Raw genomic sequence first — 17,950 nt, 5'->3', positions numbered from 1 at the left:
GCTGTCTTTTCTGTTTTGGTTTGTGTGGTTTCCTGCAGTACTGAGGACACAAATTTCTCAAGTACTCTGCTTCAGGGCATTTTGCATAATGACATTTTATCACAAGAGAAAGGAACAAAATCTCTTGAAATGAAATTTCCATAAATGGCTATTTGAACAGTTTCTAAAAAGAATCATTTGCATTCCAACCCCACACCCCATTTCTCTTCTCCTCACTCACTTCTTGCATATGCTACAATCTCACCTTTCCTTCCTGTATCTTTTGTTTAATCTTTTTCCTCTGATTTCCTTATAAGCAAGTCTTCACAAATCCTAATTTAGTCAAGATCCAAAGAGCCTCCACTTCTTCAATATGGGCTTCTCTAATGTCTAATCTACTTTTGAAAAATCTGCGCTTCTCTATGTAATTTGCAATACAATTATGCTACAACTTTTCTATAGAAAAGTAATAATCAGGAGAATGAGGACTTAGCCCTAAGGATTTGCTGCAACTCCAGAATTTTTTGAAATGTTCTTTAAAATCATGTCAATTTTGCATTCAATTCCACTGTTTGAAGATAAAATTTTAAATTACTTACCAGTGAATATCCTTGGTGGCCCTTAATCCAGAATGCATGCCATGATTACACTATTGCTCTTAAATGTAATTACTGACACTAACATTACCACTTCTTTCTGTCTAAATGTGGAACTATAGACTTTAGATGGTGAACTTGATGAAAAGTATAAAAAAGTAGAAAATTTAATTGCCAAAAAAACTGAAGAGTCAGCTGATGCCAGAAGGAAAGCCGAAATGCTACAAAATGAAGCAAAAACTCTTTTAGCTCAAGCAAATAGCAAGCTGCAACTGCTCAAAGGTGGGTCTTTTCACACAGGCTTATTTTTTAAATTACTTTAAGGCATCCATAGTTTATTTAAAAGTGAAAAATATATTCACTTTGTCTTGAGATCATCATAGTATAAATTGCTCAGACTTTATATATATATATCTCCCCACAGATTTAGAAAGAAAATATGAAGACAATCAAAGATACTTAGAAGATAAAGCTCAAGAATTAGCAAGACTGGAAGGAGAAGTCCGTTCACTCCTAAAGGATATAAGCCAGAAAGTTGCTGTGTATAGCACATGCTTGTAACAGAGGAGAATAAAAAATGGCTGAGGTGAACAAGGTAAAACAACTACATTTTAAAAACTGACTTAATGCTCTTCAAAATAAAACATCACCTATTTAATGTTTTTAATCACATTTTGTATGGAGTTAAATAAAGTACAGTGCTTTTGTATATATTTTGGTGTACTTGTTACTTTCACTGATTGTTGATGAATCCCTTTTTTCACTGTAAACGTGGATTTATAAACAAGTTTACTGCGTCCATGAAGACCCTAATTTATGTTGTCTATAAACAAGCTATTATATTTATTTGACAGGTAAACATCCTCCAAAACTCCACACCCTTGACTCCCCTCCTCCCAATCACCTCCCAGTGGGATTCCCAGGTTGAGGTTAAGGAGGACAAATATAGTCTATGCTACCATCACTATTTCAATGGTTGCTGAGTTGCTCCAGCCATCAAAACTCCTGTAAGTAAGTATTCCTTGCTCTAGGAATGAGAAAAAGCAACATTTTAGAAAATCAGCAGGATGTACTAGGGTTTGTAGTCATTACCACCTAGAAAAGGACTAGGGTTACTGAGGGGAAGGTTTCAGTTAAATCAGGCCAGAGTTTATGGATACTGCTCCTGCCAATTGAGCAATGCTACTACAGAGCACGGAATGATGCTCTAATTTCTCAGCTTTTGTATTGTATTTTATACTACAGAGCACAGAATGATGCTCTAATTTCTCAGCTTTTGTATTGTATTTTATGTGATTTTGCAACTAATCTAACGAAAGTAATTGCCAGGCCCATGTCAACTTTATTGCCTAACTAGCTGTATAAAAGGCTAGCCCCTATGTGTTTTTTTCACACATTCTTAGAGCAAGACTATTCTGTGGACTGCTTAACAACCACCCACACATCCAACACAGCTGCATCTGAAGCTGGGCCTGGACAACAGTTATGTAAACAGCTGTAAGTTAATAACTTTCCTCTGGCCCAAAGCAATAATTTGTCACTTTTATGGTACTGTTACCAAAACAGATATATAGACCAATGGAACAGAACAGAGGTCTCAGAAATAACACCACACATCTACAACAATCTGATCTTTGACAAACCTGACACAAGCAGTAGGGAAAGGATTCCCTATTTAATAAATGGTGTTGGGAAAACTGGCTAGCCATATGCAGAAAGCTGAAACTGGATCCCTTCCTTACACCTTATACAAACATTAACTCAAGATGGATTGAAGACTTAAACGTAAGACCTAAAACCATAAAAACCCTAGGCAATTACCATTCAGGACATAGGCATGGGCAAAGACTTCATGACTGAAACACCAAAAGCAATGGCAACAAAAGCCAAAATTGACAAACGGGATCTAATTAAAGAGCTTCTGCACAGCAAAAGAAACTATCATCAGAGTGAACAGGCAACCTAGAGAATGGGAGAAAATTTTTGCAAAGAACTTCAAACCCATCAAAAAGTTGGTGAAGGATATGAACAGACACTTCTCAAAAGAAGACATGCATGCAGCCAACAAACATGAAAAAAAGCTCATCATCACTGTTCAATAGAGAAATGCAAATCAAAACCACAATGAGATACCATCTCATGCCAGTTAGAATGACAATCATTAAAAAGTCAGCAAACAACAGATGCTGGAGAGGCTGTGGAGAAATAGGAACACTTTTACACTGTTAGTGGGAGTGTAAATTAGTTCAACCATTGTGGAAGACAGTGTGGCAATTCCTCAAGGATCTAGAACTAGAAATACCATTTGACCCAGCAATGCTATTACTGGGTATATACCCGAAGGATTATAAATCATTCTACTATAAAGACACATGCACATGTATGTTTATTGAGGCACTGTTCACAATAGCAAAGACTTGGAACCAACCCAAATGCCCATCTATGACAGAATGGATAAAGAAAATGTGGCACATATACACCATGGAATACTATGCAGCCATAATAAAGGATGAGTTCACATCCTTTGCAGGGACATGGATGAAGCTGGAAACCATCGTTCTCAGCAAACTAACACAAAAATAGAAAACCAAACACCACATGTTCTCACTTGTAAGTGGGAGGTGAACAATGAAAACACATGGACAAGGGGATGGGGGTGGGGGAGGGATAGCATTAAGAGAAATACCTAATGTAGATGATGGGTTGATGGGTGCAGCAAACCACCATGGCACATGTATACCTATGTAACAAACCTGCATGTTCTGCACATGTACCCCAGAACTTAATTAAAAAAAAAAATCCCAATAACTAGCAAAAATGGTCATACCCCATCATCTACTAGAGCAATTATGTAGTATTTTACTTAGAACAGTAGAAACACTCTCCATTCCTTTTCAGCTAAACAACTAAAGATCTCACTTTGAAATTACTTTTTTTTTTTTTTTGAGACGGAGTTTCGCTCTGTCGCCAGGCTAGAATGCAGTGGCATGATCTCAGCTCACCGCCTCCTGGGTTCAAGTGATTCTGCCTCAGCCTCCTGAGTAGTTGGGATTACAGGGGCCTGCCACCACACCTGGCTAATTTTTATATTTTTAGTAGAGATGGGGTTTTACCACATTGGTCAGGTTGGTCTCAAACTCCTGACCGCAGGTGATCTGCCCGCCCCGGCCTCCCAAAGTGCTGGGATTACAGGAGTGAGCCACCGCTCCCAGCCAGTTGAAATTACTAATTTTAATCAGTTCAATGAAGTGGACAATTAATTTCACTCTTCACAAGCCACAAAAATATTGACAGCTTAGTAGATAACAGTAAGTGAACACTTAAAACTTGTTTTATTCCTAGGACTTTATTCCCCATACAGATAAATTTGCATTCTCATACTGAATGTAAACACTTAAAGATGGATTTAACTCTACAGCTAGAATTCCATATTAAATTATATTTCACTATTCCCTAACTAAAAACTTTTTTTTCCCTGAGTAAGGGATATGTTGAGATTTACATAAACAGCACTTCACATGATACCGGGATTTCAAATTTTTAAAAAGATGCAGAGTTCACTTCCAATAATGGCAAAGTAGCACACAGATATCAGACCAACCCTCCTGCTGATAGCAACTGCAAACTCTGAACAAATATATTTTAGAAAAAACTAAAGGCACTGGAAACAACTATAAACAAGTGGAAAGTAGAGGGAAGTTGGCACTTAAAAAGTGAACAGCACTGGCTCAATGTCTCATTTTTAACGGGTTCTCACTTGAGGGGGAAACAAAAGCCAAGTTTTATTGGTTAAGGATCAGAAGGCAGAATATGGGGCAACCACAACAGCTGGAACATAAAGGGGAAACCCCCAAAAAACAGGAGGCACAGAAGGGGCAGACTTCCTTCTGCCCAAACTCTGGTTGACCCCTGAACTACACACTTGCATGGGAAAGACTTCCAGCAGCATAGCTAAAGCTAAAACAACTGAGAAGAGATTTCAGCTGCTGCCACCTACAAACAAGACAGAGTGTGGAGTTGGTGTTCAGCCAAGTTAACTGCCTCCTAAGACAACAATCAATTTTCTTTAGAAGTATGTAACAGAATCCAGGGTCATTATGTCACTCATGAGCATGAGACAATCTATGCTATCTATACCAAATTTCAGAACTACTTAATCTGAATTATTCTTAAATTTAGTTACAATATGCAAAAGCCTACTTAGCATTTAGTACTTTGTTACTTAAGTTTCCTCAGGACATGGCCATTTTAAACACCACACATCCAATTTTACAACACTCTTTAAATAAACAGTCATTAACCCAGCCAAGGAAAACACAGATTAAAGACTCCCTTATGTTGTACTTCTCCAAAAGTATATATTAAACATTTAGTAGGTGTATCTAAAATAGATGAAAGGATGATGACCTTTAAAATGCCTTAATATTGTCCTATAACATGAAAATAAAGATACATTCAGGCCTAGAAAAGAAATTAGAATATACACTAGAAGTAGTCATAAAAAAAACTATGACCATCTCAACACGTACTCATGATAACCAGTAAATGAATATTTAAGACGTTTATTTCAGTATCTTCATTCCCCACTGTAATACATTTGAATGCCCACGTATTTGAGTTCCGTAAATAGACTCTCTTAATTTGGGTAACTATATAATTACCCTTCAGAGTTGCAGACAACAATGGAAGCTTTAAAACCTCTTCAACACAAATGCTACCCCTAAAATGAAAGAATTTAGAGGTTAAATAAAACAAGTGAGAGACCGTTTACTTACATCAGTTCGGTTTATAGACATTTGAATCATATCTGAATGACTGACTTGTTTCCAATGTGAAAACCAAATTAAAAATAACTTGATCACTGTGCTTCAAACACAACTGTTCACATATCAAATTCTAGCTCCAGCCATGTAAAATTCAACTTTTCTGTATCAGAGAAAAAAGCTATTTAAATTCAGGGGCATTGAATCTTTCATGAACAGCATGAAAATATGAGTTGACGGAGATATTCCAGGATGCTACAATAAGTAGCTTTTTGTCTTACACATTAGTGCACTGAAACAAAATACTAAATTTATGTAAAATATAGATATAAGAGTATTCCATTTTGTCCAAACCTATTAAATACCTTCCAAAAGTTTCATAATTCAGTCCTAGAAATTCTTGGAGCTGTGAGAATATCCTGTTCAGGAATGTGACTTCTACAAAAGCTCCCAGGAAATTTCAGAAAAAAATATATATAATCTTCTAATTCAAAAGTTGATTGATTTGCCAAATGACGCAGCAAGATTTGCTTCTCTAAAAGCTTCTGATAAGGTCTGCAAGGGAAGAAATTTAAAATTAAAATCCAAATATTTGTGGGTCAGAAGAAAATTTAGGCAACCATCAATTCTATATGTTGTTAATAATTACCGGATGTGCATGACAGACTCTAGCTATATCTTCACAGGATGCTCCATATTCCAAAGCAAGAGCAGCTTCATTTACCATTTCTCCAGCACCCTTTAAAATAACAAGCCAAGTAAATTTGCTTCCAAGGCAAAAACTACATGCTAATAGGATAGCAATTGTTGAGGGGAAGCTTTTAGATCTTAAAAACGCCTTAAATCTGTTTCTTTATCAGTTGAAGAAAAGTCAGGAAAAGCTTAATAGAAAAGGTGACACAGAAGAGCTTGGGCTCTGGAGCCAAAGGGCCTTCAATTCATATCTACCACTTACTACCTTAACCATTCATTGGTTCTTTGTGCTTCATTCAGTTTCTTCACCTCAAAAATAACAGCACCTATTTCAAAAAGCTGATGTAAAAATAACAAAATGTATACTAAAGTGACACAGCACTCAAATATTCTATTCTCATTATTGTTACATCAGATACAAGAGATATCTACAAGAAAGATACATACTTTAGGCTCAGTGGTAGGAAAGGCTTCCCTTAGGAGGTAACATTTGAGCTGAGACCTGAATAATAAGGAGCCAGCCATTCAAAGATCTGGAGGCAGAACAGTCTAAGCAGAGGGTATCTTAAGCACAAAGGCCCTAAAATGCAAATATTTGGTCTGTTGTGAAAATGAGAGAAGGCCCATGTGACATGGCATTAATGAGTAAAAGAGAGCAGAAAAAGAAGAGGTCAGAGAAGTAGGCACAAACAGATTCAGTGAGGCCTTGGATGTAACAATCTGAAGTTGAAAAGCACCACTGGAGGATTTTAAGGGGCATAATCTGGTGTATGTTTTAAAGAGAGAATCTTGGCTGCAGGACAAAGTAGATGATACAGTGGGCAAGACTGTGAGAGTGCTGCTGGTATCCTTCTAGAAATGATGCACAGAGAGCCATATTCAAAGTTTTGCTGGAAATGAGCAACCTCAGACTAACACCAGGTGGTTTATAATTAATAAACAGCAATGCTTTCTAGAAATCTTAATGGGATTTCTCTGGTTTTACAATACTCACTGGTCCAAGAATATGTGCTCCCAGTACTCTGTCTGTCGATTTCTGCCCAAGGATCTTCACCATGCCATCTGTGTCAGCATTTGTCTTAGCTCTGCTGTTAGCAGCAAATGGGAATTTCCCAACTTTGTACTCAATACCCTGTGACAGTCAGAAAAAAAGAATCTACGTAACTGCCAGAAAAGTTCTTTCCAATTTGTAAAATCATCTACCATTTGTTCAGAAAATAAATCCCAAGAAGGGAATTGTTCGCAAAGCACATAGAAGGAAAGGAAAGACCAGAAGACTGGTTAATGAACTATATCTCAGGCACGAATACAAGCAAATACAAATGTCTGTCCATCTGGTTATATTTCAAAGCCAAATATAAAAGATCTGGAATTACTAGTTTTTTAATATAGGCAACTTCTCTTCCTCTCAATTACTGCTGATAAATCTGTGAATGATCTCTTTATAATGCTAACAAGGGAAAAATATATAAGCTAAACAATATTTCACAGCTGTTAAATATATTAGCATAATGATAAAATGCTGTTTCTCAACCACCAATGTCATTGGCACAACTCACACATTGGCTTAAAACCACCCATGTTCAGACTTACCTCTTCTTTCAACTGCTCTTCTGATTTGCCAACCCAAGCAACTTCAGGGTGTGTGTAAATCACTGATGGCACACAATTGTAGTCAATGTGCACAGCACCACCAGCCATTCCTTCAACACAGATAATGCCTTCATCCTCTGCTTTGTGAGCCAGCATTGGACCAGCAACTACATCACCAATGGCATAGATACTACCACAGAAATCAAAAGAAACACAATGAATTTCTGAAATCACAGCTACTTACCTTCAGTTACATTATGGTAACAAAAGTTTCCAGTAAACAAGTCACCAAAAAATACATCAAATGCAGCTCTTCAAAAATCTATGAATTCAGCTTATCTTTGAGTAAAATTCAGTTATTTTTTATTTTACATTTTGTAAGTTTACTATTCTTCCCCAAAGCCAATACATATTTTAAGCATAAAAATCTTACTTTTCAAAATACTGTTTGAAATCAATTTTAAAATTACTGAAAATGCAGACAATTATCCAACTTACTTTGGAATTTTAGTTTGAAATCTGGTATTGACTGGAATTCTACCTCTGGGATCTAGTTCAATTCCCAGCTCTTCTAGTCCCAAATTCTTAGTAAAGGGTCGTCGGCCAATGCAAACCAAGAGTACATCACAAGTGATAACTTCAGCTTTACCACCAGAAGCAGCTTCAATACTAGATAACAAACAGTGTATAAATGTTAAATACACACCTACATAAATTGATAGGCTTAGAAATTTAAGGCCAGCAATTTCTCAAGTGTTGATGACATTTTCATTTTTGTTTTGTTTTGTTTTTGAGACAGAGTCTTGCTCTGTCGCCAGACTGGAGTACAGTGGTGCAATCTCGGCTCACTGCAACCTCCACCTCCCAGGTTCCAGAGATTCTCCTGCCTCAGCCTCCCTAGTAGCTGGGACTACAGGCACGCGCCACCACGCCCAGCTAATTTTTGTATTTTTAGTAGAGACGGGGTTTCACCATGTTGCCAGGCTGGTCTTGATCTCTTGACTTCATGATCTGCCCATCTCAGCCTCCCAAAATGCTGGGATTACAGGTGTGAGCCACCATGCCCAGCCGGCACTGATGACATTTTTAACAATATAAGTTTATTTGAATATAAACATAAGAGTCAGACAATGAAAGAGATCTATCATTAAAATCTAGAGGTCTGTTATTAAAATCTCACAAAAACCACAGTATAATAAAACAGCAGTTAAGAATACAGGTCTTTGAGTCACAGAAATCCAAATTCAACTACTGACTGCCACCCACTAGCTGTGTGACAAGTTAGTCATTAATTAGTCAATGAATTCAGCTTCTTATCTTTGAGTAAAAGTCATTAAACTATTTAAATACTATTAACTATTTAATTTAAATATTTATTTAAAAACTAATTCAATAAGTTAAATGCCATTAAAGTATTTAATCAGTAGAGTACCAGACATATAGTAAGCAATCTTTTATTATTGATTTCCCCATGTATCTGCCTAAAAATATTGATTCAATTTTACTTATTATTGGGAATTTAAATTTTTCTGAATGTACTATAAGAAGGCACAACAATGAGAATATTGGATTCTCTTTCTAGCATTAACCTAATCATAAATTTCAATGTGCTAATGCAATAATTTGATAAGCAACTGAGTTATATTAAGTAATAAAATGACCTTAAGTTAGAAAAAACCCTATATTTGCTAAACTGATTTTGAAACTTGAGTGTTTTGCTTAAAGAGACAGGGATGATACATCAAAAACAAATGATGTATACTTACGAAACATCAATTTTTCCATCTGACTTCTTGGTAGCACCAGTAACCTTTGTATTCAATTTAAATTTAAACCCCTGTTTTTGAAGGATGCGTTGAAAGTTTTTAGATATCTCCATATCAATTCCAACTCCACCTACATGACCTAAAAATTCAACTGCTGTCACATCTGCACCAAGTCTTTGCCAAACTGAACCCTGCAAATAAATTAAAAAAACCCAATAATCATAAAAGTTTCTATAGCAAATGTTTACGAAATCATCTTAATAATTTATTGTAAAACATTTTCTTCTTTCGCTAGTATGTTCCTATGAGAAGCTCCGAGGTTTAAAATTGACCCTGTGTTAAATATGTATAACTTCATACATTTATTAACTTACTCATTCAACATTTGTTGAACATCTACTACATGGTAGGCAATATTTTAGCTTCTAGGCATACATTAGTAAACAAAGCAAAAATCTCTGTTCTCAGGGATCTTATATTCTGGCAGGGGACATAGACAAATATGTAAAATTCATAACAGAGAATAAAGTGCTACAGGAAAAATAAAACAGGAAGTAGAACTAGGACCACTGATTACTGGGATTACAATTTTAAATAGCACGTTTGGGGAAAGCCTCACTGGGAGTGACATTTGCACAAAACTTGAAGGAGTGAGGCAATGAACTACCCAGTTAACTGGGGCAAGAGTGTTGCTCTAGGCAGAGGGAAACAGCAAGTACAAAAGTCTTGAGGAAAAGGAAACAGGTTACTAAATCACTGATGTTTGCAGAATATTAAACTGGCTTCCTATTTTCTTTTCTCAACAAAGGACAAATGTTTACTTTTTCATTCAAATTATAATTTAAACTGAATGCTAGTTTATTTTAACATTTTGACAATTAGTATAACTTCTAAATAATTATATATTAAACAATACATAACTGGCAAGATGAACATAATTTCACAGCATTAAATATGAAAAACCATGAACATATCCTTTGCAAGAATGTATATTAAAATCATCTGGTAATTCAAATGAACTATAAAAGTTTACCTTCCCTAAATTAGGTGTGGGCGTTCATTTAAAAAATCTCATTAATTTCTAGTATGAAGACTGAGTTAACTAGAGGCAATATAGTGACACTAAAAATCTAACAATACGTATATATAAAAGTTAACTCAAAATGGATCATGGACCTAAATGTAAAATCCAATACTATGAAACTTCCAGAAGAACACCTAGGAGAAGAAATCCTAGAAGTGACCTTGAGTTAGGCGAAGATTTCTTTGATGTAACACCAACAGCACAATCCATAAAAGAAAAATGATAAATTGGACTTTGTCAAAATTAGAAAGTCTTAGATAACATTGAGAACACAAAAACAGAAGCCACAGACTGGGGAAAAAAATTACAAAACTTCTATCTGATAAGGGATTTATATCCAGAATATATAAAGAATTCTCCAAATTCAATAAGAAAAATTCAATAAAAAATGGACAAATGTCTGAAGAGGGAAGATATAGAGATGGCACGTAAGTACATTAAAAAATGCTCAACCCCGTAAGTCATTAGAGAAATCTAAGTTAAAACCACAATGAATTGAATTCAACAACACATAAAAAGATCATTCACCATGATCAAGCAGGATTCATCCCAGAGATGCAAGGATGATTCAACATATGTAAATCAATAAACATGATTCATCACATTAACAGAACCAAGAACAAAAACCATATGATCACTTCAACAGATGCTGAAAAAGCCTTTAATAAAAATTCAATATCCCTTCATGATAAAAACCCTCAAAAAACTGGATATAGGAGGGACACACCTCAAAATAATAAGACAAACTCATGGCCAACATCATACTGAATGGGAAAAAATTGAAAGCCTTTCCTCTAATATCTGGAACAATACAAGAATGCCCATTTTTCACCACTTTTATTCAACATAGTACTGGAAGTCCTGGCCTCAGCAATTGTAGAGGAGAAAGAAACAAAGGGCATTCGAATTGAAAAGGAAGAAGTCAAATTAATCTTTTGTGCAGACTACATGATCTTATATTTAGAAAAACCTAAAGACTCCACCAAAAAACTATTAAACTTACAAACTAATTCAGTAAAGTTGCAGGATACAAAATCAACATACAAAAATCAGTAGCATTTATATACACCAACAGTGGACAATCTAAAAAAGAAAAAAAAAAAGCAATCCCATTTGCAATAGCTATAATGAATATAAAATACCTAAGAATCAATTTAGCCAAAGATGTGAAAGATCTATACAATAAAAAACTAAAAAACACTGATGAAACAAATTGAAGAGGACACAAAAAATAGTTCATGTTCATGGACTGGAAAAATTAATATCGTTAAAATGACAATACTACCCAAGGTAATTTACAGATTCAATGCAATCCCTACTAAACTACCAATGATATTCAACTGCCAAAGTAATCCTGAATAAAAAGAAGAAAGCTGGAAACATCATATTAACCGGCTTCAAAATTTACTAAAAAGCTATAGTAACCAAAATAGCATAGTACTGGCATAAAAAGACACACAGACCAATGGAACAAAATAAAAAACCCAAATATAAATCCACACATTTTCGGCTAACTCATTTTCAACAAAGGTACCACAAACACAGTGAGGAAAAGGCAGTCTCATCGATAAATGGTGCTGGGAAAACTGGATAACCGTATGCGGAAGAATGAAACTAGACCCCTATCTCTTACCATATACAAAAGTCAAATCAAAATGGATTAAAGACTTAAATCTAAAATCTGAAACTATGAAATTACTGTAAGAAAACATTGGAGAAATGCTCCAGGACACTGGTCTGGGCAAAGACTTACTGTGTAAGACCTCAAAAGCATAGGCAACTAAAGCAAAAACAGACAAATGGGATTACATTAAGTTAAAAAACTTTTGCACAGCCAAGGAAACAGTCCACAAAGAGACAACCCACAGAAAGGAAGAAAATATTTGCAAACTATCCGACAAAGGATTAATAATCAGAATACATAAGGAGCTCAAAAAAATTCAATTTTAAAATGAGCACCAGATCCGAATAGACATTTCTCAAAAGAAAACATTCAAATAGCCAATACATGTATGAAAAAATGTTCAACATTATTAATCACCAGAGAAATGCAAGTCAAAATCACAATGAGCTATCATCTCACCCCAGTTAAAATGGCTTTTATCAAAAAGATCGCAATAACAAATGCTGACAAGGATGTGGAGAAAGGAGAACCCTCATACACTGTTAGTGGGAATGTAAGTTAGTACAGCCACTGTGGAAAACAGTATGAAGGTTCCTCAAAAAACTAAAAATAAAACTACAATATGAGCCAGCAATTCCACTACTGGGTATATATCCAAAAGAAAGGAAATCAATATATTGAAGAGGTATCTGCGCTTTATGTTTACTGCAGCACTATTCACAATAGCCAAGACACAGAATTAACTCAAGTGTCCATCAGCAGACAAACAAAGAAAATGTGGTACATATACACAATGGAATATTATTCAGCCATAAAAAAGAATGAAATTCTGTCATTTGCAACAGAACAGATGGAACTGGAAGACAGCATGTTAAGCAAAATAAGCTAAGCACAGGAAGACAAATATCGCATGTTCTAACATGTGGGAGCTAAAAAAAAAAACAAACAAACTGAACTCATGGAGATAGAGAGCAAAATGATGGTTACCAGAGGCTGGGAAGGCTAGGGGGAGAAGAGGAATGAAGAGAGGTTGATTCATCAGTACAAATATACAATTAGACAGAATAAATAAGAGCTGGTGTTAATGCAGGGTTGACTATAGGTAACAATCAATTACACATTTCAAAATAGCTAGAAGAGAATAATTCAATATTCCTAGCATTTAAAAAAATGTTCGAGGTGATGGATAGCCTAATTACCCTGATTTAATTATATGAATATATCAAATTATCACATGTACCTTGAAAAAAGTACATCTATTACATAGCAATTTAAAAAATAAAAATAGAAAAAAAAACCCCACAGTGAGTTACTACTACACAACCACTAGAATAGCTCAATTTTTAAAAAAAAATGACAATACCAAGTGTCAGTGGAAAAGCAGAGCAACAAAAATTTACGTTGCTGGTGGGATTGTATGGAAAAGTGTAACGGTGTTCCTTGAGAAGTTAAAATAATTACCATATGACCCAACAATTACACATCCAGTTATATACCCAAGAGAAATGAAAACAGATAACCACACAAAAACTTGTACACAAATAGACATAGCAGTGTCATTCATAATAGTCTGAAAGTAGAAACAACCCAAATGTCCACCCATGATGAATGGATAAACAAAATGTGCCATATCCATAGAATGAGATATTTAGCCAGATAAAGAAATGAAGTATAGATACATGCTACAACTTGGATGAACCATAAGAACATTATGCTATGTAAAGAGAGCACACACAAAATAATATTGTATGATTTCATTTATATGAAATGTCCACAATATGCAAATTCATAGACACAGTAGAATTAGTGGTTTCCAGGGGCTGAGCAAAGGGAGAAATGGAGAATGACTGCTAATGGGTAGCAAGTTTCTTTTAGGGTGATGAAAATGTTCTAGAGTTAGACAATGGTAACAGCTCTACAACTCTATGAATATACTAAAAACCTTTGAATTGTACATTTTAAATGGGTGAACTGATATGTGAACTATATCTCAATAAAGCTGTTTAAAAAGCAAACAAGACAAAAGAAAGGACCATTCTTGGAAACTGGGATAGAAGTAAATAGAGGGGAAATAATGGGAGTGTGGAAATAAGAAACATCATCTTGGAGTCTAATTCAAAGTAGGGAGTGATGAGCATAGACAAGTGCCCTACTCTTTAGGAAAACTGATTTCAAAATACTTATAGATAGGAAAACTCAATAGCATCTACCACTTACTTAGAGCTTACTAAATGCCAGGCACTGCATTAAGTGTTTTAAATGTATTAAATCCCAGCAATACTCCTGTAAGTTAGTTATTTTTATCCCCTTTTTGATGACAAACCAACTGGTTCAGAGTGGCTCATTAACAAGAACATAAGTCAGTAAGAGGCAGAGTTGAAATTCAAATTTAAATCTGTTCAATTCCAAAAAAGATGTTTTTTAACACTACACTAAACTGGAATGGAAGAAAGGCAAAATATAAAAAATGAAAATACAGTTATGTGAATAATCTTTACAAGAAAATAAATAGATATCATGACTACACAGTAAATTCTCTAATAAGTTTTTAAAAAGACATGTAAAAACTAATTCAATACAGTAACAGGTATCTAAATCATTGTGTCAAAAGACTCAAGGCTTATAAAAAACCTAAAGCAAAACTGCTGAGATGAAGAAATAGAATTATTGCTTCGAGATATTATAATGACCAACAAAAGAAAGTAAATGTTATTCCTTTTTTCTTGTTTTATCCAACTATGAGAACAAAGTAGAATGAACAGAAGAAATATTATTAACCAAGAGGCAACGCCCAAGATTAAGAACAACTGGTCATTTTTAAAGAGTTAATTCCCGGCTGGGTGTGGTGGCTCATGCCTGTAATCCCAGCACTTTGGGAGGCCGAGGCAGACGGATCATGAGGTCAGGAGTTCAAGACCAGCCTGGCCAACATGGTGAAACCCCGTCCCTACTAAAAATACAAAGAAAAATTATCTGGGTATGGTGGTGCGTGCCTGTAATCCCAGCTACTCAGGAGGCTGAGGCAGGAGAATTGCTTGAACTGGGACCTGGGAGGTGGAGGCTGCAGTGAGCCGAGATCATGCCACTGTATTCCAGCCGGGGCTACAGAGCGAGACTCCATCTCAAAAAAAAAAAAAAAAAAAAAAAAAGTTAATTCTCCCATCAACCCAATTAGAGTATGACAAAACAGGCACTCTCAGTGAACTCTGGGAACTTACTTAGCACAAGGGAACTGCCAAAAGGTGGCAGACAGGCAAATATGCCTAAATTTTCAAAAATGGAAAAGAAGAGATTCTGCTAAATACTAGAAGACATTATTAATCAGCTGGTTTCACAATCAGTAGACACTACCACAAGTGTTCCAAACAGGTCACATAAACCACTCTTACTTTCTGAAGGGTTTCTGGACTGGTGAATGTAGTATATTTTGATATCAGCAAGGTGTTAAAAAAAATTTTAAGAAAATCTCATGATATCCTTGTAGATGAGATGGAGAAACGAAGATGAATAAACATCAAAGGTGTTTATAACTGGTGAAAGACTGTACTGTCAGATGGCTTTCGATGTTTCATCCTGGTCAAAAATTTGTACTAATGACGTGAATGACAACAGAAGTTTGCTTAACCAAGATCAGATCAGATGATGGGACTGCATGCCTTAATTGTCATACTTCCAAAATTTACGAACTATGAAAAGTAAAAGCAGTTAAGTATAAGAGTGACAGAATCAAGACTAAGATATAGATTGGAATAATGAGTATGAGTGAACAAGATTAAATTAAAGCAAGAATAAAGGTTCAAAGTCACTTAGGTTTAAAAAATCAGAATTCCAAATGCGAAAAAAATGTGGTTTTTATCTGAACATAAGCTCAATGTCTGCTTTATAAAAACAACTAAACTGATTTCAAAGCATTACATTACAAGAAGTATACTATGCATATCAAAAGAAGTACTCTCTACAACCCAGAACATTATGTTTAGATTACAAGTTTTCTTAACGGACTAGACAGGATCCAAAGGTTGATGACAAAATAACAGACCTGCTGTCTAGGAGACCTAAGTACTAAACATTAAGAAAAACAATGGAGATTCAAATAGGAATTAAAAATTCGGTCCTGCCTTCAAGGAGCTTTGGTCTTATAGGAAAGTCAGCCATAGACAAACAAATGCAATGTATTATTATTAGTGGGTACTATGGAAATGTAGATATATTATACTAAGGACTCAAAAAATGAAAGACTTGAGCTTTCTTAGAAGAAAGAATTATTCACTAAAAAGATAACTTAAAAGCTGATTTTTGTTTTGGGGTTTTTTTTTTTTTTTGAGACAGGGTCTCACTCTTTTGCCCAGGATGGAGTGCACTGGCATGACCCAGCTCACTACAGCCTCAAACTCCCAGGCTCAGGTGATTCTCCCATCTCAACCTCCTGAGTAGCTGGGACTACAGGCACACACCACCATGCCCAACTAATTTTTTACATTTTTTTAGAGATAAGTTCTCACATTGTTGCCCAGGCTAGTCTCAAACTCTTGGGCTTAAGCAATCTGCCTGCCTCAGCCTCCCAAAGTGCTGGGATTATAGACATGAACCATCATGCGCATCACAAGGTCAGGAGTTCGAGACCAGCCTGACCAATATGGTGAAACCCCGTCTCTACTAAAAATACAAAAATTAGCCGGGCGTGCTGGCGGGCGCCTGTAGTCTCAGCTACTTGGGAGGCTGAGGCAGGAGAATCACTTGAACCCGGGAGGCAGAAGTTGCAGTGAGCCGAGATCGCGCCACTGCACTCCAGCCTGGGCGACACAGCAAGACTCGGACTCAAAAAAAAAAAAAAAGAAAAACAAAAATACTAACAATTAAAGGGAAGCCTAAGAAAGGGGAACTTGCATAATATGGAGAATTCAGCCCAAAGAGCAGATGTAAAAATGGAAGAATATGAAATCACAGAAGTTAGGCAAAGTGTTTCAAAGGCAAGAAAATCAGCAATGCTAATTACTGCCAAATAAAGCAGTGAAGAAATTAGTCCAACAGATTGAGCAATAAATAGATTCATGCCCTAAGAGCAATTTATTGGCACAAGCCATAGACTGAGTGAGTGGAAGTTGATGAAATAAAGCATGGACAACTCTTTTGAGAAGCTGGGTTTTGAAGGAAAAGTGCGAACAAAATTGGTAACTCAAGAAGGACATGGGACCAAGATAAGGAGCATTTATGTGCACACAAACCTGTGTTAATGAGTGCAAATGCATCACAGGTACACACATAGAAGCACATGAAATTGTAAATAAAAGGAAGGAGTTTGAAGACTGAAAAATACAAGAATAAAAATCACAAAACCAAGTCTCTGAAAAGGCAGATGATGTGCTACCAAGCACAAGTAAAGGGATTAGTCTTAGGGAAAATGGCATTTCCACAGTAATAGGAGAGGTAATCAAAAGGATAGGTGTAACAACAGGTAAAAGCATTATCAAATTTAGGACATCAACTTGAGGGAGTTCTCATCTGATTTCTCTTTTATGTAATATTTAAAAGACAAGGTCATCCACAGGCAGAGCAGACAGTATACAAGCAGAGATTTGAGAAGAGTAGAAAATGAAAATGGCCATTGCAGAGACCAGGGCAGTGTACCATCTTAGGAAATAATAAACTGTCAGCAAGGCTGAGGTTCTTGTTAAGGTTTGTGCCAAGAATTAATACAAGTACCAATGAGTAGGGTGTGTTTTTCTCCAGGTGTAGTCAACAGCCTGGAAATAGCATAAAAAAGGCAGACTGCTGCATTCAAACCGAACTAGAGTTTTGCCAAGCAGATATGACAGAACAGTGAGACAAGCAACTCAAGGACATCTGTAAGA

At 35.8% G+C, this 17,950-nt stretch overlaps 2 protein-coding genes across 5 annotated transcripts in view, besides 1 other annotated feature; one reads left to right on the top strand and one right to left on the bottom strand.

Annotated features, from left to right (window-relative positions):
* Positions 1–1,288, top strand: part of LAMB1 (laminin subunit beta 1) — a 79,363-nt gene extending 78,075 nt beyond the window's left edge. Inside the window, exons 33-34 of the mRNA NM_002291.3 lie at positions 698–857; positions 1,000–1,288. Of these exons, the coding sequence (NP_002282.2) occupies positions 698–857; positions 1,000–1,136 (297 nt within the window). The 3' untranslated portion in view covers positions 1,137–1,288. The remainder of the gene's footprint in view (positions 1–697; positions 858–999) is intronic.
* DLD (dihydrolipoamide dehydrogenase) overlaps positions 3,889–17,950 on the bottom strand; it is a 30,092-nt gene continuing 16,030 nt past the window's right edge. For all 4 annotated transcript variants that reach the window (NM_001289752.1, NM_001289751.1, NM_001289750.1 and 1 more), the window contains 6 exons: positions 9,391–9,581; positions 8,123–8,293; positions 7,625–7,814; positions 7,026–7,163; positions 5,988–6,077; positions 3,889–5,893 (listed from right to left, as the gene is read on the bottom strand). In NM_001289752.1, the coding sequence (NP_001276681.1) occupies positions 5,828–5,893; positions 5,988–6,077; positions 7,026–7,163; positions 7,625–7,814; positions 8,123–8,293; positions 9,391–9,581 (846 nt within the window). In that variant the 3' untranslated portion in view covers positions 3,889–5,827. The remainder of the gene's footprint in view (positions 5,894–5,987; positions 6,078–7,025; positions 7,164–7,624; positions 7,815–8,122; positions 8,294–9,390; positions 9,582–17,950) is intronic.
* Positions 6,635–7,034: an enhancer, noted in NCBI's record as "active region_26499". NCBI's record gives its function as "activates an Ori minimal core promoter by ATAC-STARR-seq in GM12878 lymphoblastoid cells {active_cell/tissue: GM12878}" and the evidence as "EXISTENCE:reporter gene assay evidence [ECO:0000049][PMID:35858748]".

Source organism: Homo sapiens, chromosome 7, assembly GCF_000001405.40.
Source record: "Homo sapiens chromosome 7, GRCh38.p14 Primary Assembly".
Lineage (NCBI taxonomy): Eukaryota > Metazoa > Chordata > Mammalia > Primates > Hominidae > Homo > Homo sapiens.
The sequence above is the reverse complement of the archived record's forward strand: the minus strand, read 5'-3'. Positions and strand labels throughout refer to the sequence as shown.